General features: G+C 41.7%; 2 long non-coding RNA genes and 4 pseudogenes across 6 annotated transcripts in view, besides 5 other annotated features; 1 reads left to right on the top strand and 5 right to left on the bottom strand.

Annotated features, from left to right (window-relative positions):
* The window catches only part of SUGT1P4-STRA6LP-CCDC180 (SUGT1P4-STRA6LP-CCDC180 readthrough), a 138,870-nt gene extending 126,073 nt beyond the window's left edge, over positions 1-12,797 (bottom strand). For all 3 annotated transcript variants that reach the window (NR_036528.1, NR_036527.1, NR_036529.1), the window contains exons 1-3: positions 12,656-12,797; positions 5,037-5,127; positions 380-431 (exon numbers count right to left, since the gene is read on the bottom strand). This is a non-coding gene — a long non-coding RNA (SUGT1P4-STRA6LP-CCDC180 readthrough). The remainder of the gene's footprint in view (positions 1-379; positions 432-5,036; positions 5,128-12,655) is intronic.
* SUGT1P4-STRA6LP (SUGT1P4-STRA6LP readthrough) overlaps positions 1-12,797 on the bottom strand; it is a 58,889-nt pseudogene extending 46,092 nt beyond the window's left edge. The window contains exons 1-3 of the transcript NR_036526.1: positions 12,656-12,797; positions 5,037-5,127; positions 380-431 (exon numbers count right to left, since the gene is read on the bottom strand). The product of NR_036526.1 is annotated as an SUGT1P4-STRA6LP readthrough (transcript). The remainder of the gene's footprint in view (positions 1-379; positions 432-5,036; positions 5,128-12,655) is intronic.
* Positions 379-12,924, bottom strand: SUGT1P4 (SUGT1 pseudogene 4; annotated as a pseudogene).
* Positions 12,342-12,636: a silencer, noted in NCBI's record as "tiled region #7929; HepG2 Repressive DNase unmatched - State 1:Tss, and K562 Repressive DNase unmatched - State 1:Tss". NCBI's record gives its function as "represses a minimal TATA promoter and a strong SV40 promoter by Sharpr-MPRA in HepG2 and K562 cells {active_cell/tissue: HepG2 | K562}" and the evidence as "EXISTENCE:reporter gene assay evidence [ECO:0000049][PMID:27701403]".
* Positions 12,342-13,389: a biological region, named in NCBI's record as "Sharpr-MPRA regulatory region 7929".
* Positions 12,396-12,555: an enhancer, noted in NCBI's record as "active region_28657". NCBI's record gives its function as "activates an Ori minimal core promoter by ATAC-STARR-seq in GM12878 lymphoblastoid cells {active_cell/tissue: GM12878}" and the evidence as "EXISTENCE:reporter gene assay evidence [ECO:0000049][PMID:35858748]".
* The window catches only part of ANKRD18CP (ankyrin repeat domain 18C, pseudogene), an 82,850-nt pseudogene continuing 73,186 nt past the window's right edge, over positions 12,481-22,144 (top strand). Inside the window, exon 1 of the transcript NR_136286.1 lies at positions 12,481-12,800. The product of NR_136286.1 is annotated as an ankyrin repeat domain 18C, pseudogene (transcript). The remainder of the gene's footprint in view (positions 12,801-22,144) is intronic.
* Positions 12,564-13,389: an enhancer, noted in NCBI's record as "H3K27ac hESC enhancer chr9:100000116-100000941 (GRCh37/hg19 assembly coordinates)". NCBI's record gives its function as "activates a minimal SCP1, AML or CMV promoter by ChIP-STARR-seq in primed H9 embryonic stem cells {active_cell/tissue: H9 hESC(primed)}" and the evidence as "EXISTENCE:reporter gene assay evidence [ECO:0000049][PMID:30033119]".
* Positions 15,770-15,955, bottom strand: VN1R52P (vomeronasal 1 receptor 52 pseudogene; annotated as a pseudogene).
* On the bottom strand, positions 16,206-21,327 carry LOC124902224 (uncharacterized). Its single transcript, XR_007061684.1, has 3 exons — positions 21,287-21,327; positions 17,872-18,021; positions 16,206-16,338 (listed from the first exon to the last, which is right to left on the bottom strand). It is a non-coding gene; the product is annotated as an uncharacterized LOC124902224 (long non-coding RNA).
* Positions 18,466-19,063: an enhancer, noted in NCBI's record as "NANOG hESC enhancer chr9:99994442-99995039 (GRCh37/hg19 assembly coordinates)". NCBI's record gives its function as "activates a minimal SCP1, AML or CMV promoter by ChIP-STARR-seq in primed H9 embryonic stem cells {active_cell/tissue: H9 hESC(primed)}" and the evidence as "EXISTENCE:reporter gene assay evidence [ECO:0000049][PMID:30033119]".

The raw sequence follows: 22,144 nt of genomic DNA, 5'->3' as shown, positions 1-22,144 counted from the left end.
CCACCACGCCCGGCTAATTTTTGTATTTTCTTAGCAGAGACGGGGTTTCACCATGTTGCCCAGGATGGTCTCAATCTCCTGACCTCGTGATCTGCCTGCCTAAGCCTCCCAAAATGCTGGGATTACAGGAGTGAGCCACCGGGCCCCGGCCTAGACTCCTTAGTAATTTCTTACTGATATGTCATACCAGCAAATTCACCCAAATCTCCTTTTCAACCTAAGAAGCTAGGCAAAAAACATTATATTTTTGGTAGTCTACATTTAAGGAAACATGTATTATTTAAAATAAATTATAAAGGTAAAAACAAATTTGTTTAAACCAAAAAATTTCAAATGTTTACTTCTTTTTAAATTGAAATACCATGGGAGATCTACATACCATTCTGAGCTTCGACACCTTTTAATCCAGTCACTGAAATTAGCATCTGCACCTAGAAAGAAAAACCTATCACATCACTCATCTGCACAACCTGTTAATCAGCAAATACTTATTAAATACCTATTACATCCCAGGCACTGTTCTAGGCACTGGGGAGTCAGCAGTGAATAAAACCTGTCTTAACAGAACTTATGGCAAACTCTGTTATAGCTATAAACATACCAATAGTTTAACACTTGGTTGTTTATCCTGAAACATTTTGATTTTTTTAAATTAATTTTAACTACAGTAAACCTCACTAATTTCATAGATATAAATAATGCACATTTCCCTCAATCCCTCTGCCCTTAGAGAAGCTTCCTCATACACACAACAAAGTCAGATCTAAATCAGACTCCCAAAATGCCATTAGTTAGGGTGGGGAGGAGGCTTGGTAACTGGGAGCTGAGTTGAGGTCCTTAAGCCTTTCCCAGCCCCAGCTCACTCTTCAATGCAGCTACCTATTCAGTCCACTATTCTCTCAGTGGCTTTATCTGTTCCCATCCCTTTCCTACCAACACCAAGAAGCATCTTTAAATTCTGTGAAGTTTTCTCATATATCCAAGTTACATGGGGGTCAAGAGGCTACAGGTGATAAATTATATACTTACAGATAATAGTGTAAATGTAGGCGTAAACAAATTATTCACTTCTGGAGACACAGAACAACGATTACATCTATACACAGTGCATAGTGAAATACGTTAAAAACATCGAGAGTACTCTAAATAAAAGCCTACTAATTCAAGTTAACTCCAGCCAAGAGTAATCTGGAAATTTTAAATTAAAAATCTCTTAAAACAAAATTTTCTAATTTACTAATTTATAAAAGAAATACAACTACATGGGCCTTAATAAAAATTTTAAATATACTGTCTCACATACACTATATTCTAGAGAAGAGGGTTTGAATAACTTATTATTTTAAATAATCAGTAACTAAAATCAGGCAGTCTAACATACAAAGAGGGGAAAAGGTAATATTCTGAGTTATAAATTTTTTACCCTGTCTGATAAAAATAGAAGCCTAAAAGTTTAACTTAAATTTTTCCTGGATTTAAATGTAAAGATAAATTTGTTTTTTAGTGAAATATCCTCAATAGCAATTTTACCAAAGAGGCCTTCTTCTGAAGGCCACCTCTGAAGTAATTAGAGAATAAATGTCAATGGCATGATATTAAGATATTATTCGGCCGGGCGCGGTGGCTCACATCTGTAATCCCAGCATTTTGGGAGGCTGAGGCGGGTGGATCACGAAGTCAGGAGTTTGAGACCAGCCTGGCCGACATGGTGAAACCCCCATCTCTAATAAAGATAAAAAAATTAACTGGGCGTGGTGGCACGCACCTGTAATCCCAGCTTCTCTGGAGGCTGAGGCAGGAGAATCACTTGAACCCGGGAGGCAGAGGTTGCAGTGAGCCGAGAATGCACCATGCACCATTGCACTCCAGCCTGGGAGACAGGGCGAGACTCTGTCTCAAAAAAAAAAAAAAAAAAAAAAAAAAAGAAAGAAAGAAAGAAAGGAAAAAAGGAAGGAAAGAAAACTCAAGAAAGGAAAGAAAACTCAAGAAAAGAATTTAGGGGCCAAGTGCTGTGGCTCATGTCTGTAATGCCAGTGCTTTGGGAGGCCAAGGCAGTAGGATCACTTGAGGCCAGGAGTTCAGAGACCAGTCTGGGCAATGTAGCGAGACCTCATCTCTACACAAAAATGTTTAATGAATTAGCTTAGTGTGATGGTACATGCCTGTATTCCCAGCTACTCAGGAGGCAGAGGCAGAAGGACAGCTTGAGCCCAGGAATTCAAGGCTGCAGTGAACTATGATGGTGCCATTGCACTCGAGTTTGGGTGAAAGAGTAAGGCTCTGTGCCCCCAGGTCCAAAAAGAAGAAAAAAAAAAAGAAAGGAATTTAGGCAGGAAACTTTTCTATTGCTCTTAAAAGTAATAAGGCCTAGAAATGTAGAGGATGAGGTCAGGCATAAAGGCTCACGCCTGTAACCCCAACACTTTGGGAGGCTGAGGCAGGTGGATCGCTTTAGCCCAGGAGTTCAAGACCAGCTGTTGTAACAGGGCGAAACCCTGTCTCTGCGGAAAAAAAAAGCAAAATTTAGTGAGATGTGGTGGCACGTGCCTATAGCCCCAGTGACTTGGGGGGCTGGGGTGGGTGAATCACTTAAGCTCAAGAGGCGGAGGCTGCAGTGACCCAAGATCACACCACTGCATTCCAGCCTGGGCAACAGAGTGAGACCTTGTCTCAAAAAAAAAGAAAATGTAGAGCATGGTATGACCCACGTTTTTTCAGGGTTTTCAAGTATGTATCAAGGCACTAGATAACTTGACTCTGGAATTTGCTAGGAGTGTAGATATGCTGTCTTCCTGACTGAATAGCCCTATTATTCACATACCAAAACTGAAACTGGGATAAGCAAATTTGACAATAAGCCCTGTCACCCAGACCTTTCCTTTCCTAATTTGTAGCTTCCATTTGTGTAATCAGGCCTAAAATCTCTTTTTTGAATAGGTATACAGCAGAAAAGCAAACATTCAAAGCAGTACAGAGTAAGAATTTAACATATAATACGTAAGAGCAGAGCTTCTTAACTCAGCACTACTGACATTTTGAACCAGATACTTCTCTGTTGGGCAGGACTGTACTGGCCATTATGGGATGTTTCGTAGTACCCCCTGGTTTATACTCATTAGATGTCAGTAGCTCCTCCCCCATCCACCATTCATGATAATAAAAAATTTCTTCAAACATTGCCTAAAGTTTCCTGGGAAACAACTGCTTCCAGTTAAGAATCACTGCTTTACAGAATTGTGATAAAACTCTATCATAACATAAAGATAAAATAATAGTACAAGTAGGACTATGTAGTCTACAATTTTCTGGGATTACTCATAACCTCTGTCTTAGTATTTTTCCGATTTTAAAATTCTTGCTCTCACAATTCCTATATATGTCTAAATATCCACAATGCTGTGATAATTTTCATATATTCCCCTCAAAAATATAACATTAAAAACTAACAATACTCTCAAAACTCTGGGTTTCTTCTGTACTCTCTCATAATTTATCCAAATGTACACTTCACTTCTCCATAAAAACCTTATTGTTAAGATTTCCCATCTCAGCATTCTTAATAACTTAAAATGAACAGACTTCTGACCAAGAAAGCAAATCAAACTCTCATTTCTCCATTAGAAAAAACAAAGCCAGGCCAGGTGCTGGTGGCTCACACCTGTAATTCCAGCACTTTGGGAGGCCGAGGCAGGTGGTTCACGAGGTCAAGAGATCGAGACCATCCTGGCCAACATTGTGAAACCCCACCTCTACTAAAAATACAAAAATTAGCTGGGCATGGTGGCACATGCCTGTAGTCCCAGCTACTCAGGAGGCTGAGGCAGGAGAATCGCTTGAACCTGGGAGGCAGAGGTTGCAGTGAGCCAAGATTGTGCCACTGTACTCCAGCCTGGGCAACAGAGCGAGACTCCGTTTCAAAAAAAAACAAAAACAAAAAAGAAAAAAAGAAAAAGATGGTTTTTTGTCAGTTATTTACAGATTCTAGCAAACATACACGGAATACGGATCAGTTTTAGATTTCTAAGTTTTCGAGTTGATAGAAACACCAGATGGTTTTAAATTAGGAAAAGCTAATCCAACACAGAATTCAAATAAATATTACTCTTGTACCTTCCTTTTGGCTTAACATTTAGCTTCCTTCTTAAAGCTCTTCGGTCAGTGAATAAAGCTGTGTGACAAAATTCATCTCCTTTTCTCATTAGCATCATTTACGTAATTTGGCCGGGTGCGGTGGCTCCCGCCTGTAATCCCAGCACTCTGAGAGGCTGAGGTGGGCGGATCACCTGCGGTCAGGAGTTTGAGACCAGCCTGGCCAACATGGTGAAACCCCGTCTCTGCTAAAAATACAAAATTAGCCAGCCATGGTGGCATGCACCTGTAGTCCCAGCTACCTGGGAGGTTGAAGCAGGAGAATCACTTGAACCCAGGAGGCAGAGGCTGTAGTGAGCTGAGATCGTGCCACTGCACTACAGCTTAGGCAATAAGAGCAAAACTCCATCTAAAAAAAAAATTCAGTTTTTCCCTATCCAGATTCTTCATCAGAATAATTTTTAAAGTTACACAGTACAGGAATACATTATTTTTTAATATAGATAGGGTCTTGCTATGTTGTCCAGGCTAGACTCGAACTCTTGGGCTCATGTGATCCTCCCGCTTTGGCCTCCCAAAGTGCTGGCATTACAGGCGTGAGCCACCATGCCACACTACACTCTTTTTTATAAAAAAATACAAAGAAGAGCATTTCATTTTAATACTCTGTCAAATAGTAAATGTGATACTATTCTTTATCAGCCTACTCAGTAACTATGAATGAAACCTATATACATTATCCACCCACTGAAGCAAGAAGAGACATCCATAAAATTTAAATAGGTGTTGCTCAACATATCTGTCACACTTGAGCTACTTTACCTTGTATGAAAGACCAACTCAAAAATCCTCAAAGACAACCTTTATTTTATCTGATTAATTGGTTATGGGTAAAATGTATAAGTAACTTATTAAAAAGGGGCAATATACTTTATAAGAAAAATTACCACAGTAATTCCCAAGAAGAATGTGACAATAAGCTCTTTGACGATAATATTGTGCATCATCTGGTTTCTGTTCCAAAGCCTTAGTCAGTTCCTACAAAAACAAACATGTTGAGTGTCAGTAAAAGGTATTCAAAAGCCATCAAATTCTAATTAAAACATAATTTTTAAACAAATAACTTATTATCAGAAACTATTTGGAGGAAAGATAACAGGGAGGTAATCTTGGAGTTTTTCCTCATAAGAGGATCTCCCCTTCTGCTGCCCCTCCTCCCAAAAGTAGACAATCTAACATAGTATTTCTGTACTGTAAAGCATTTAGGGGTCAGGTATGGTGGCTCATGCCTGTAATCCCAGCACTTTGGGAGACTGAGGCAGGCGGATCACCTGAGGTCAGGAGTTCGAGACCAGCCTGGCCAATATGGTGAAACCCCACCTCTACTAAAAAAACAAAAATTATCCAGGCATGGTGGCGCATGCCTGCAATCCCAGCTACTTGGGAGGCTGAGGCAGGAGAATCACTTGAACCTGGGAGGCAGAAGTTGCAGTGAGCCGAGAACACACCACTGCACTCCAGCCTGGGCAACAAGAGTGAAACTCCATCTCAAAAAAAAAAAAAAAAAAAAAAAGCATTTAGTTCCTGACCTACAGAACTCAATAAATGGTAATTATTATCACCTCACATATTCTGAAGAGTTTAACTGATATGCATTGACCATTACAGATTTTCTCCTTCTAACTTGGAGAAGATTCAAACATCATATGGAATTTGAAATTCCTAGAAAATGTGAAGCTGTCCAATAAAGAAAGACTAAAAGTTAAATCTAGAGCTCAGGGAGGTTAAGACAATCAATATCTACACCATCAAGCTTACCTGGCCCTCTCTTATCCTCTATCAATAGCACACAACTCTAATAAAATTAATAAAATGCAATTAAACATCCTGTTCAAAGCCGAGATATAATCTAATAGATGGCTATGGCAACTGATCAAGAGTTAACATTAGAGAGATTAAAACTTTTTCACCCTGTGCAGTCATAATATATAGGTGTGGTAGCTGGAAAAATAATGATGTAAGAGATTATACAATTAGGGAGATCAAGGGCAGATGCAGGAACACAGGAACACTTTTATTTTCTGCCAACTACCTACAAACTCTAGGGATTTGGTAGTTTTCTTAAATGGTAAAATTATTTCAATAGCCACATGTGTCACTGACTTTGCTTTAACCTAATAGATAACTCTCACCAAGCAATGAATACAGATGCCCCTCAACTCACCTGGGGTTGCATTCAATCAACAGAAACAAAGTGTGGCTCAAACTAAGAGAGCAAAGAAGCTATAAGATGCTACTTCAAGGGCCTCACTTTGTACCTTGCAGGCTGTTATAAGGAATTTGGACCTCAGGTGTGATGGAAAGCCATGGAAAGTTCATTGTTAGTAGGAGAGAGAAATGGTCCAATTTACTCTTTTCAAATATCATTCTGGTTGCTGTATGGTGAATACATTATAACAAATCAGGACTGGAAACACAGACTTCTTAGGAAACTAATACATTAAGTCTAGGCTAGAAAAGGATGTTAGCCATAGAGGTGATGAAGAGAAATACAATGAGCTGGAATATATTAGAGCCAGCAAGACTTGCCAATGTGGGATAAGAAAAATTGAAGATCACTCCAGGATTTGGGGCTTACTTAGATCTATACCTGGCATCCAGTAGGCACTCAATGAAAAGTATTGATTTCTCTCCTTGCAGACTTTTTCCACCTTTTCCCCAATCTCTAATTTGACCACATCTCCTTGGCCACAAAATATAAAAATGTTTGCCTCTCTAGTCTTAATCTTCTCAGAGCCACTAGTAACCCCTTATCAAATCCAACTGATTCCTATCTGACTTGATCTCTCTGTGGCCCCTGACAATAACCAGACCTTTCGGCTTACCATTCTGTTGCTTTTTAAAAACAAAGGTTTCCGGGCTGGGCGCAGTGGCTCACACCTGTAATCCCAGCACTTTGGGAGGCCGAGGCAGTTGGATCACCTGAGGTCAGGAGTTCGAGACCAGCCTGATCAACATGGCGAAACCCCATCTCTACTAAAAATACAAAAATTAGCTGGGCATGGTGGTACATGCCTGTAATCCCAGCTACTTGGGAGACTGAGGCAGGAGAATCGCTTGAACCCAGGAGGCGGAGGTTGCAATGAGCCAAGATCATGCCATTGCACTCCAGCCTGGGTGACGAGCGAAACTCCATCTCAAAAAACAAAAAACCTAATGTTTCCCTTGGGCTCAGTACTTAGACTTCCTCCCCTTTAGAAACATTCTTTGACTCTTTAAGTGGTGTCGGAGGCTTCACATATGTCTTGAATCATCCTGATGACTCAAGTCTATCTTGAGAGCCTAGACAGTGCTCCTGTACAATATCAGCATAGTTTTCTCTAGACTTCACCCAAAATGTCCCAGAGGCAATTCAAATACAAATATTCAAAATCTAAAACTAATTCCTCCCTTCAAACCTATTCCCCCATGCTGAATGCAGTCTTCTAAGTGCTATCATCCTAGGTGCTATTTAAGTGAAAGGCACCAATTCCTACTACATTCCCCCAGCCAGAAACTCAGGAGTCATCCCTTATATTCCAATCATCACCAAGTCCAGTGCATTTTACATAAAACAACTCCCCTCCATGCCCACAATCACTGCCCTGCATGCAGATATTCATCTTTGACCTGGTCTGTACCACCATCTTCCTGCTATCCACTATCCCTTGTGTCTCCTCCAATTCATTATCTACTCTGCTTTTAAAGTAGGTTTTGTAATTCAGAAAATTTCATTCCCTTCCTCCAAATTCTTCACAGGTCTCCATGATCATATGATAAAACTGAAAACCATCTGTTGAGATTTAATGCCTTTGATGGCCTGGCCTCTCTCCACTTGTTTAACCTTTATCTCCTAGCACTTGCCTCCTCACATTTTATGTGCTAATACTACTGAACAACTTGTATTATTCCCCAAACAGAACAGTTATGTAGTATTTACCATGTGCCTGGCACTGTACTAAGCATATGATACAGGGTACCTCACTTATCTTCAAAATAAACCTTTCAAGTAGGTCCTATTTGTTCCCATTTGACAGATGAGAAATCTGCTCTGGACTGATGACAGGAACCTTACTGAAGTTACACCGTTATCATGAAACCAGAACTTTGACCCAAGAGTCTCTGACTCCAGAGCCTGGGTTCTTAACCACCACACACACTGGGCCCTGAACGATTCTCAAAATTCACACGTTTTCTCTCCCTACTGAATTTTGCAACCTCCTCTGTAAAGTTTTTAACTCCCTCAGTCGGATTCTATTCTGCTACGCTCATTTTATACACAACCCCATTACAGTAGTTACCTTATATTTTAATGATCTGTTGACTTGTCTTTCCACTAGACTGAAAACTCACTCACTGAAGCTTATCCATCCTTAGATTCCTGATTTCCAGTACAACATTCACCACTTAATGTTCATTCTTTGTTGAATGAATGAAAAATGTGAAACAGCCTATGTGATAAGAACATTCCCCTTTATTCCTAATTGGATGACCTTATATCAAATATACACATTTTAACTCACATGATACCAAGTGACCTGAATCCCAAATGCCTGTTAAAGTAGCCCTTGGGACAATCCAGGAGAAATACACTCACATTCATCATCAAAGTTTCGGCCCTACTTATCATTACCAATTATTTAATAATTTACATTGACCTGTTCATCTTTGTGAGGTCATCTCACAGTTTAAAAAGAACATTTCTTCTTAACACAGCTGGTTCTTATCATGATCATCCTCCCCACACCCAGGGTTTCTGATTCTGGGTCTGTGGTGGGTCCTGAGAATTTGCATTTCTAGGGCCAGGCATGGTGGCTCACACTGTAATCCTAGCACTTTGGGAGGCTGAGGCGAGTGGAACATTTAAGGCCAGGAGTTCGAGACCAGCCCGGCCAACATGGTGAAACCCCATCTCTGCTAAAAATACAAAAATCAGCTGGGTGTGGTGACACACGCCTGTAATCCCAGCTAATTGGGAGGCAGCGGCAGACTCACTTGAACCTGGGAGGCAGAGGCTGCAGTGAGCTGAGATTGCACCACTGCATTCCAGCCTAGGCGACAGAGCAAGACTCCATCTCAAATAAATAAATAATTTGCATTTCTAATATGTTGATGCTGCAGCTTATCTGGAGCCCACACCTTTGAGGACCACTGTTCTATAGCACTAGACTAAAATTTGGAAAACCTGTGTCCTAAGGCCCCCCCCTTCTGCCTGTAACTGGTGTGTCTCTATGACAGATCATTTGGATTTATTTGAATCTCTGTTTACTTTTTAAGAAACGGGGTTTCTTTATGTTGCCTAGGCTGGTCTTGAACTCCTGGTCTCGAACTCCTGGTCTCAAGTGATCCTTCCACCTCAGCCTCCCAAAGTGGTAGGATTATAGGCATGAGCCACCACGCTTAGCAAGGTCTGCTTTCTTATGTACACTGGGAAAAGGAAGAGTAAGAAGTACTGGACTACATGAGTCATAAGGACTTTTTTTTTTTTTTTTTTTTGAGATGGGATCTTGCTCTCTCACCAAGGCTGGAGTGCAATGGTACAATTTCGGCTCACTACAACCTCCACCTCCTGGGTTCAAGTGATTCTCCTGCCTCAGCCTCCCAAGTAGCTGGGGTTACAGGCGCCTGCCACCATGGCCCAGCTAATTTTTTGTATTTTTAATAAAGACGGGGTTTCACTATGTTGGCCAGGCTGGTCTCAAACTCCTGACCTCAGGTGATCCACCCGCCTCAGCCTCCCAAACTGCTGGGATTACAGGTGTGAGCCACCGTGCCAGGCCCATAAGGACTTTCAATAAGAATCTGCACTTCTAGTGAATTGCCACGTCATGCTGTTACTGCTGGCCCAAGAGCCACACATTAAAAACCAAGGTACCAGTGCTAACCACATGACTATTCTATCCAGTTCTACTCCTAGGTATATACAATCAAAAGAAAGAAATGCATGTGTTCACCAAAATACACAAAAGAGTACTCACAGAAACTTTATTTATGCTAGCTAACAACTAGAAATAAACCAGACGTCCAATTAGAATAAATTGTGCTATACTTACATTTATACAACATATATTTATACAATTATACAATGGAATACTACACAGCAATGCAAAAGAACTACTGCTTCACACAATATGGATGTATACTCATGGAATGATTAAAGCAAAAACAGACTGCGTACATTGAACAAAGCACCTACTATATGATTCTGTTTATGAGTCCAGAACAAGCAAAACGAACAGATGGTGATGGAGGTCAAAACAGTAGTCAGCAGGACAGTAAGAAGAACTGCTGGCTGGGAAGGAGCATGAAGGAACCTTATGAATGGAAATGCTCTATATCTTGATCTGGGTGGTGTACACGTATCTAAAAACTCATCAAACTGTAGACTTAAAATTTGTGTTATTTACGTATGTCATATATGCCTCAATAAAAAATTTAAGGCCGGGCATGGTCACACCTATAAACCCAGCACTTTGGGAGGCCGAGGTAGGCAGATCACCTTAGATCAGGAGTTTGAGACCAGCCTGGCCAACATGGCAAAACCCCATCTCTACTAAAAAGTACAAAAATTAGCCGGGTGTGGTGGTGTGCGCCTGTAATCCCAGCTACTTGGGAGGCTGAGGCAGGAGAATCGCTTGAACGTGGGAGGCGGAGGTTGCAGTGAGCCGAGATCATGCCATTGCACTCCAGCCTGGATGACAGAGTGAAACTCCGACTCAAAAAAAAAAATTAATAAGTAAAAGAAGATAGAAAGTGACAATGAAGTTTATTATATTAATATTCTTTAAAAGCAACTTTTTTTTTTTTTAAGACAGAGTCTCACTCTGTCACCCAGGCTGGAGTGCAGTGGCACAATCTCAGCTCACTGCAAACTCTGCTTCCCAGGTTAAAGCAATTCTCCTGCCTCAGCCTCCTGAGTAGCTGGGACAACAGATCCACACCACCACACCCCGCTAAAGTTTGTTTTGTATTTTTAGTACAAACAGGGTTTCACCATGTTGGCCAGGTTGGTCTCAAACTCCTAACCTCAAGGGATCCACCCTCCTTGGCCTCCCAAAGTGCTGGGATTACAGACATTAGCCACCGCGTTGAGCCTAAAAGCAACTTTTATACAAACTGGATTTCCAAAGGATGCACTAGCCCTAACATGACAATTAAGAAATGTAAATTCAAAGTAATAGCTATCTAATATAAGAAATTACAGAGAAAAATTTTCACTGCTTCCTGTAACATTATCCCAAAACTGATCCCAGAAGCCTTATTGCTGGTATCTAAAGGTCTATATATTTAGATTCAAAAAACATACCTGGGCCCTAAAAGGCCATACAGGACGTGGCTCCGAGTTTCCTGTCCAACCTTATCTCCTAATCAAATGGGCCCTCTAATAAAAAGGGCCTTTTTGCTGCTCCATACACAGGCCAACTTCATGCCTACTTCAGGATCTCTGCACTGGCTCTTGGTCCTGCCTGGAATGCTCTTTCCCCAGAACTTCTAAGCGAATTCTCTTGCTTCTTCAGGTCTCTGCTCAAATATCACCTTAACAGAGGCTCCAGCACCCTATGGCACATTTCTTATAAAAGCCATAGCTAGAAAAGACGCCGTCTTGCCTCAAATTGTTAACGTTACTTATGTTAGATTATAACAACAAAACAGGGTGTCCTTTTTTATGTGCTTTAAAGCAAAAAACAAACAAACAAAATGAAAAACAAAAACCTCCTGGTTAAATTCTGTGACCCACAGCATCATTTATCTTTAGGCTCTTCTTTAACTCCTATTATTTAACTCTTGCTCTTTTACATTCCTTTACAGCTTTATAGTTTGTCTTCACTGCACACCTGCAAGAAGTGATTTCTTGGTTAGCTAAGTATATAACTAAGACTAACCCATAGCAATCAGCGCCTTTGCACACAGCAACTCCTAAAACATTTTTTGATGAATAAACAAATGAGTGAATAATGAACTATGACAAGACATCTGGAAAGTTTCAGGGACGTGAGGGAAAAGGTTTTTGTTCCAGTAGACTGACTTCATACCGGCACTTTTACATAAGAATGGCAACAATGATGTCAAACGAAAAAATTAATTTTCATCGAGCCCAGAGTCCACTTTTCTCTTCTAGTCATAACTGCCATTAAAAAAAAAAAATCCTTTCAGCCCAACTACAGTTGTCAACCATGTTCCCAATAAATGGAGGAGGTTTTTCTCAGAAGTGCAGGAATGCAAGAGTCTGGAAATGGAAAGGGCAAGACAGGAGTCTGAGGTAACGCGAGGAGACTGAGAATCTCAATACTGGGGCGGACACGCAGTAACCACAGGACCCTGGGTCCCAATCAGGTGCTGCTGGGAGGAGGCGCGTCAGCCAGGGGTGGAGGAAGCAGAAAAGGCTCTCTCACCTCTAACGCCGCAGTGGATTAGAGCATCTGAGAAGCTCTGGAAAAAACCTCTCAGGAAAACAACGACTTCAGCAGGACCCACTAGCCAAGGAAAGGGGATAAAATAAATAGCAAAGGGAAGGAAAAACACGCACCTCTGGGATGCTGCAGGTCCTGTTGCAGCCGCCGCCATCCCTCGAAGCCACCGTTGCTTCTGCCAGAGCTGCTACTAGCGCGCTTATCAGCTCCGCCACCGCCCAAGGGGGAAACTTCTGCAGAAACCCCAACCGAGCTTCCGTCGTAAGTAGCCAACGAGCAGCCACGCAGCGTGCTGCTAGCGGGGCGGGAGGCTACGCGCGGGCGCGTGGCCTGCTGGGGCAGTGGAGGACCGAGTCTTCCCAGCCCGCACCCTGGCCTGGGACCCGCGCTCCCAGTCCCGGGACCCGCGCTCCCAGTCCCCGCCCCTAGCAGCCATGGTTATGGAGGCCCGGGCCAACACGTTCTCCTTCTCTTCCACCGCGCCCACTGCTGCGGTCACTCGGACCAAGCCTCCAGGAGTAGTAGCTCAGAAGCACTTTTGTAGCATACCGTTACCCCTCAGGAGCTTAGCGGTTAAGGGCGTTTGCATGTCTTTTAGTAACACAAGCTCCAGGCCGGGCGCCGTGGCTCACGCCTGTAATCCCAGCACTTTGGGAGTCCGAGACGGGTGGATCACGAAGTCAGGAGTTCAAGACCAGCCTCGCCAAGATGCTGAAACCCCGTCTACGAAAAATACAAAAATTAGCCGGGCGTGATGGTGGGCGCCTGTAATCCCAGCTACTGGGGAGGCTGAGGCAGGAGAATCGCTTGAACCTGGGAGGCAGAGGTTGCAGTGAGCCGAGATCGCGCCACTGCACCACAGCCTGGGCGACAGAGCAAGACTCCTTAATAAATAAATAAATAAATAAAAAATAAATAAAATAAGCTACTTCGAGCTCCGTTTTCCCTAGGTTTTATCATGGCTGCCACAGGTGGCCAAGCCCTTTCGTCTCCGTGATGTCACTGGAGGCTGCGTGGTCTTTTCAGGGAACAGAGGGGCCTGGATGGCGCCTGGATTCCGGCGATCGTTGCGCTGGGAATGGAAAAGGGCTGGGACTCGCTGGAAGTCGTTCTGAACTAATAGAGCTAAAGGCCTTCTGGTTCCTGGGGAGACGCGCCTGGCCCCCGTGTACTATTCATTCCCTTCCTCATAACTCCACAGCCCAGGCTTTCTTCTTAGTGGGCTTCCTAGACCGAAAGTGATCTCAGGGCCGCTTTGTTTCCCATCCCGGTCGGTCAGGCCCTCCGTCAGCGCCCTTTGACCCATGCAGATCGGATGGGGAAAGCTGCCAGCGCCTTCCAGGGATGGGGGCAGAATGGGGAGCTGGAGGGAGTGGTCTTTTTCTAACTTTATACCACTATCAAACTGTGTTAATTCATGTAGCTTTATAATAAGTCTTGAAGTCCTGTGACTTTATTCTCCCAAGATTGCTTTGGCTTATTCTAAGGCTATTGTATTTGTAGGTGAATTTTGGAATTAGCTTGTCAGTTTAAAAAAAAAACAAAACTGCTAGGATTTGTACTGGGCTTGCGTTGGATCTGTAGATCTGTTTGGGGAAAACTAGTATATTAACAATACTGTCCTTCAATCCATTAATATCATTATTTCCCACCATTTATTTAAGTGGCCTCTAATTTTTCCTGGTAATATTTTGTAGATTGTACACATATTTATATCTTAATGTTTGGATCCAAGTTGTGCTTGGATCGATTGCAGTATAGAGATCAAACATATATTTCATTAGATTTATTCTTGAGCAGTGTTTTAAATGCGATGTTAAATAGCATTTTATTTTTTTATATTCTCGTTTGTTGTAAGAATATAGAAATGCTATTGATTTTTACATATTGATGTTATATTCAAGCATGTTGCTAAGTTCCCTTATTATTTGTAAGGGACAAAAAGACTACAGAGTCTTTTGGAATTTATGTGATTACAATCTTCCAATCTGTGAATAGAGATGGTTTAACTTTCCTGTAATCTTTATACCTTTTAGTTTTGTTGCTGGCTAGTATGTCCACTATTGAATAGAAATAGTGATAATGGACTTCCTTGTCTTGGTTGTAAAATCAAGAGGAAAGCATTCAATATCAAGTGCTTTTTCTGCCTTTATTGAAATGTTCATATGTATTTTTAATAATAATATGTTACTGTTATATAATAATAATTTTAAAATAATATTTTAATAATAATGTTACAATGTAACCAATTACATTGGTTAATTTTCAAATGTTATCTAAATGGCCAATTGTCCTTCCGGATCCCCATTGATTCCGATTGGGATGGCACTGTAAGAGAGGCAGAACCAGTGAAGGAAACAAGGTTTTTTCAGGAGTTATATACAGGGGTGGTCCAGTGGTGGTGGGCTGGCCTGGAGAAATACTACCGTTCGTATTAAAAAAAAAAAAGCATGTAGTCCATATAGCATATAGCATTTTCACTTAGAACCCTCCTTCTAGCAATCTCCATTTAACCCAAAACAAAGGGCCTCGATCACCTGTACAGCCTGTGTTCCAAGGGATGGGGCAGGGATATGGCTGTCCTTCATAGATAAGTAGTGAATCTCAGTGTTGGCTACTCCCGGATTCCTTAGCCTGGGACTCCAAACACACTTAGAATAGGGTAATTCTCAGGTATGCTCCAGTTATGGCTCAGCCATACACCAAGGTGTATACACCAACCCCTGCCATGCACCAATATGCATATAAATATGAATAGCCTCTGAAAGGGCGAATTCCTAGATTGACCTATAGGCCCACATGAAAAGTTCTATATTAATAGCTATGTCATGACTGGGTGCAGTGGCTCATACCTGTAATCCCAACACTTTGGGAGGTCGAGGTGGGTGGATCCCTTGAGGCCAGGAGTTGGAGACCAGCCTGGGCAACATGACAAAACCCCATCTCTACTAAAAATACAAAAATTACCTGGGCTTGGTGGTGCACACCTATAATCCAAGCTACTAAGGAGGCTGAGGCACAGGAATCACTTGAACCTGGGAGGCAGAGGTTGCAGTGAGTGAGATGGCACCACTGCACTCCAGCCTGGGCAACAGAGTCAGACTCTGTCTCAAAAAAAAAAAATAGCTGTATCATGGACATTGAAATTATAATGAGATACCAAAACTACCACCAGAATGACTTAAATTAAAAGGATTTCCAATACCAAGCATTGACAAGGATATGGAGCATTTTTTAGAGAGAATGACCAAGGAGTTGGCTACAGTCAGGTGCTGCAGAATCAGATCTGTGGACCTTAATGTGCATCTGGTGAAATAAATAACTATAATGGTGATGAAGAAAGCAATTGCCCAGGAATCCTACTGTGGTCTGAGATAAGAAGATCATATTCCTATTGCCACATCCCTGGAGGCCATTTGTCTTTTTTCAATGACTGATCATCCTATTCAGAGTGAGAGGATCTGGCATGGAAACAAGAGGCCTGTCGTACCATGGCAACTGAAAGCCACTCTTTCCCACTTACCATTGTTTTCAAGCCATTAATTTCCTATTAAACTTCATTTTCCTCTTCCTGAGAGTTTCACTATAAAAATATATGTGTGTATAGATATATATTCCTAGCATAAGAGTACTATAATAGTGTTTTACATAGAACTTTTACAACAATTCTTTGAAGTGCTTTATTGTTCCCATTTGACAGGTGAGGCGATCTCAGGCACAGGAAGGCTGAATGACATTTCCAAAGTCACCTCCTTGTAAGAGGCAGTGTCAGAAGCTGACAATGGACTTGACCACTATGCTGTCGTAGCAACAGAGAGAAATAATTTTTAAGACAATCCATGTATTTAAAAAATATTTTTGTACCTCTTGTGAGTTTTTAAAAGAATCGTTTTGAGTTTTTTCTTTTTGATTGTGATTGAAAACACCAATACTTGTTTTATAGGCAAATATCATCTATAGTGATCAGAGATCCAAGTAAAATATAGATAGTCTGATCTTAGCATAATCTTAGAAGAATAATTATATACAACCAAATGGAATTTCTTAAATGCACAAATGGAATTAAAAGAGGAGGTTCTTTTCCATCTTAACCAAGAAGGAGGGCATAATGGAATGACCGTGTGCTAAGCAAGGGAGAAGGAAAACGAGTAGGAGGGAAAGCATTGCAGAGGAGAAACTAAATTACCATGAGTGTAGAAAAAAAAAAGTGAGGACTGGAGAATGTGAAAATATCAAATATAGTATTTCAATGTCAGAACAGTTCACTATATTAAAACTCAAGTCCATTATGCACAAGAAAAACTGGAGGTAATGATTATACATTGACCCAAAATGAGCACTGAGCCTGGGGATGACATGAAAACATTTTTAAACAAGAGGAAAGATAAAAAATAATGCAATTCTGAAAACTGCTGAGGAGCATAATGTTTTTTTCTAACACAAAAAGCTAAATTCAGTTACTTTTCTTTGCTGATTTAATGAGGGAAAAGAGTCTCACCATAATAAAGAGACAATAGATTTTTTCTGTCATGACACACTTATGGTCTCCATTTGGTATATTCTATGCACAGAGTTGTTGAAAACACTATATTTACTATTTCTGAACAGAATAAGATAATTCAATCAGCTACATCTTATACATGATCACAGGCATGGAGGTGTCATAGAAACACCTCTACAAATCTTGGAAATGTTCATGCAGATAAGACAGGGCAGCGGGCAAATTAATTTCCAAATTATATTAGAGAACTTAAAAATAGGCTGGATGTGATGGCTCACGCCTATAATCCCAACACTTTGGGAGGCTGAAGCAAGAGGATTGCTTGAGGCCAGGAGACCAGCCTGAGCAACATAGGGAGAGCTTGTCTCTACAAAAATTTTTTTTAAGTTTGCTGAGTGTGGTGGCACATGCCTGTGGTCCCAGCTGCTCAGGAGGCTGAGGTGGGAGGATCGTTTGAGCTGAGGTATTCGAGGCTGCAGTGAGCCACAATTGCACCACTTCACTCCAGCCTGAGAAATAGAATGAGACCCTGTCTCAAAAAAAAAAAAAAAAAAAGATTTCATGACTTTATTCAAACCAACAATGATGAACAGTGAGGATTACATTAAATGAGAAGCAGTTAGGGGCTGGTTTATGGTCTTGACCTCCATTCCTTCTCCACGAGTGCAGCCCACGACCCAGTGATGATTTCCCCTTCCCTGCATTGCGTTGGCACCGACTTAGTTTCTAGCCCAGAATTCCGTTTTCCAGACAAAAGACCCTGCTCCATCTCCCAGCACACTTCCTTCCTTTGCAGGCTATGCCTTCTAGACTGAAATAGAAAATACTCACCTGATTTTTCCCTTGTTGCTGTGACAATAGGTGCAGGGTGATGCTCAGGACAGCCAGTGGGTGAGTGCGTGGAGGAAGGCATCCAGGTCTCAGATATGGGTTTGTGTCCTGTGACCTCACCTTTTTGCAGCACTGCAATGAGCATTTCACCTGCGGCAACAATGACAGTGCATATTTGGGGAGCTAAAGATATTTCAAGAAACTTTGTCCCAGTTACCAATTACCAAAAACAAGTACAATTTTCTATGAAGGGGGCCAGCCCCTCCACACCTGTGGGTGTTTCTCATCAGGTGGAATGAGAAACTGAGAAAAGAAAGAGACACAGAGACAAAGTATAGAGAAAGAAAAGTGGGCCCAGGGGACGGGCGCTCAGCATATGGAGGACCCGCCCTGGCACCAGTCTCTGAGTTCCCTCAGTATTTATCGATCATTACCTCTACCATCTTGGAGAGGGGGATGTGGCAGGACAATAGGGTAATAGTGGGGAGAGGGTCAGCAGGAAAACATGAACAAAGGTCTCTGTGTCATAAACAAGGTTAAAAAAAGGTGCTGTGCTTTGATGTGCACATACACAAACATCTCAGTGCATTAAAGAGCAGTATTGCTGCCAGCATGTCTCACCTCCAGCCCTAAGGTGGTTTTCTCCTATCTCAGTAGGTGGAACATACAATCGGGTTTTACACCGAGACATTCCATTGCCCGGGGACAAGCAGGAGACAGATGCTTTCCTCTTATCTCAACTGCAGAGAGGCCTTCCTCTTTCACTAATCCTCCTCAGCACAGACCCTTTACCGGTGTCGGGCTGGGGGATGGTCAGGTCTTTCCCTTCCCATGAGGCCATATCTCAGGCTATCACATGGGGAGAAACCTTGGACAATACCTGGCTTTCCTAGGCAGAGGTCCCTGTGGCCTTCAGCCTTCGCAGTATATTATGTTCCCGGGTACTTGAGATTAGAGAGTGGTGATGACTTTTAACAAGCATACTGCCTTCAAGCACTTGTTTAACAAAGCACATCTTGCATAATCCTAAATCCATTAAACCTTGAGTCAACACAGCACATGTCTCTGCGAGCACAGGGTTGGGGCTAGGGTTACAGATTAACAGCATCTCAAGGCAGAAGAATTTTCCTTAGTACAGAACAAAATGGAGTCTCTTATGTCTACTTCTTTCTACATAGACACAGTAACAGTCTGATCTCGCTTTCTTTTCCCCACATTCTAGTGGGCATCTCTAGCAAGATGAGAGTGTTTGGCAGAGGCTCTTGCTTTCCATAATCCCTGGAGGCAACAGGAAGGGGCTCCTAGGGAGGGAGCAGGAAGGGGTGAGTCTAGACTGAGGGGCTAGCAGCAGAGCACACGCGTCTTACTAGAGTCTGTGCTTTCCTGAGATGGTCCCCTACAGAAAACCCAATTTTCTGTTAATCCTCAGATTCCTGAGCCAAACTATTATTTCACTGTGAACAGAGAAATGGGATCATGCGAGGAACTTGAGAAGGATATGTGAACAGATTACAGTGCAAACAGCAACTTGAAGTCAAATACTGATATGAAAAATAAATGGGAACAATGTTGGGCATTCCAATGTAAATTAACAATCAAATGTAGATGTTATATATTCTATAAATATATATTTTATTAACATTTACCCCTAGAGAAATAGAGATTCTAAATTGTATAATATTTATAAAAGAAACAGAGACATTTATCAGAGTCCCTCATATACACAGAAGCACCAAGTTCATATGATCCAGAGAGAAATTCTACTAGTAAACTAACTGATAACCTGACGCTACCTAAACTATTCAAGTCTTAGTCAATCTTCCCAATAGTTTTCAGGAAGGGTGCATAAAGGTGATATGAGATCTTACCCTGGTTTGAGCCATGTATTACAAAAGTATAGGACGTGTGAATATAAATGTAAACTTTTAAATATTAGAAGCCATTGTGTCAGCACATTGAAACATTACATCATAATCCACTGCCTTTTGTGCCAGAAATGCAAGTGAGAGTCAACACTTGGAAATCCATTAATACAATTAATTATGTTAAGAGAATCAGTGAGAATGTTATGTGTTCATGTCCATAGATTTAAAAAAAGACATTGCCAGGATTCTGCAGAAAATCATATTTTAAAAATTAATAAGGAACTAGTGTAAAATATATACATATTTTTAGACAGGGTCTTGCTCTGTCACCCCAGCAAGAGTGCAGTGGTGCAATCATAGTTCACTGTAGCCTCAGCCTCCTGGGCTCAAGTGATCCTCTTGCCACAGCCTCCCCAGCAGCTGGGACTACAGGCACATGCCAGCACACCCGGCTAATTTTTTGTTTTTTTGTATTTTGTAGAGACAGGGTCTCACTATATAGCCCAGGCCAGTCCTGATCTCCCAGCCTTAGTGGATCCTACTGCCTCAGCCTCCCAAATTACATGCATGAGCCACTGCGCCTGGCCCTAAATGTTTCTTGAGAGCAAAATCTACTTTCTATAAAGGCGGGCATGAGTCAACCCTTTCAAAGCCATTAGGGGCCAGGTGTGGTGGCTCATGCCTGCAATTACAGCACTTTGGAAGGCCGAGGCAGGTGGAACACCTGAGGTCAGGAGTTCCAGACCAGTCTGGCCAACATGGCAAAAAACCCCTTCTCTAGAAAAAATACAAAAATTAGTTGGGCATGGTGGGCACGCCTGTAGTCCCAGCTCCTCAGGAGGCTGAGGCAGGAGAATTGCTTGAATCTGGGAGGCAGAGGTTGCAGTAAGCCGAGATTGTGCCATTGCACTGCAGCCTGAGCAACAGAGCAAGATTCTGTCTAAAAAAAAAAAAAAAAAAAAAAAAAAAAAAAAAAAAAAAAATTAATAAACTATTAGGACAGTCTTGGAGGAAAAAGTCTTGGAAGAAAAAGTCTCTTGGGTAAGGATTAATTAACTGGTACACAGGCTGGCAAGGTGACCCTTAGTGGTCTGCCAGTCTCAGAAAAAAATTTATGCATCTAGGGAAAAATTGGTCACAACTAGGCAATTAGATCACAGCCTGCCCAGCAAGTAAAACAAAATTCTGTGTCAAGCACACCGTAAAAAAAAAAAAACACTGGTACAAACCTTAAACATTCCCTGATAGGCATCGTAGACTTTTTTGGTTTGTACTGCTTTTTGTTTTGTTTTTTGCTGCCTAGACATTAATCAGCAGAATGAGACCCTCAAATTTCAAAGCATGCAATAATGGTCCCCCCATTACTGGGACCCCTGCTAGTTACATGTTTGAAAATTAGTTGATAACTGATTTTGGCCAGGCGCGGTGGCTCATGCCTGTAATCCCAGCACTTTGGGAGGCCAAGGCAGGCAGATCATCTGAGGTCAGGAGTTCAAGACCAGCCTGGCCAACATGTTAAAACCCCGTCTCTACTTAGTGGCAGCACAGACCTGGAATCCCAGCTACTCTCGAGGCTGAGGCAGGAGAATCGCTTGAATCTGGGAGGCAGAGGTTGTAGTGAGCCGAGATCATACCACTGCACTCCAGCCTGGGTGACAAGAGCAAAACTCTGTCAAAAAGAAGAATGAAAGAGAGAAAGAGAAAAGAAAAATTAAGGTCCTCTCTCATGCATGTTTTAATTTGTATTTGTATACATTTAAGGGGTACAAGTGTAGTTTTGTTACATGGACATACTGGGTAGTGGTGAAGTCTGGACTAGTAGTGTAAACATTCCCTGAAGAGTGCACATTATATCCACTATGAAATTGCTCAACCCTCACCCCTCTCACTCACACACCCTTCTGAGTCTCCAATGACTATTATTCCACTCTCTGTGTCCATGAGTATGTGTTATTTAGCTCCTATTTATAAGTGAGAACATGCAGTATTTGACTTTCTGTTTCTGTTATTTTACTTAAGATAATGAACTTCATTTCCATCCATGTTGCTGCAAAAGACATGATTTCATTCTTTTTTAAATTTTGAAGTTTATTTTAGACATAGGGATACATGTGCAGATTTGTTACATGAGACTACTGTGGATTTTATTGTTTTTATGGCTGAATAGTATTCCACTGTATGCATACCACATTTTCTTTAGCCAATCATCTATTGATGGACACTTAGATTGATTTCATATCTTTGCTATTGTAAAGATATGGAATACAGCAATCCTGCTACTGGATATATACATAAAGGAGAAATACTATATAAAAAAGATACCTGCACTTGTATGCTTAGAGCAGCACTTAGGTTGATTCCATATCTCAAAGATGTAATACTTCTCTTTTATCTACATATCCAGTAGC

This window comes from Homo sapiens, chromosome 9 (genome assembly GCF_000001405.40).
Source record: "Homo sapiens chromosome 9, GRCh38.p14 Primary Assembly".
In the NCBI taxonomy this organism is placed as follows: Eukaryota; Metazoa; Chordata; class Mammalia; order Primates; family Hominidae; genus Homo; species Homo sapiens.
This window is presented reverse-complemented; position numbering and strand designations above follow the sequence as displayed.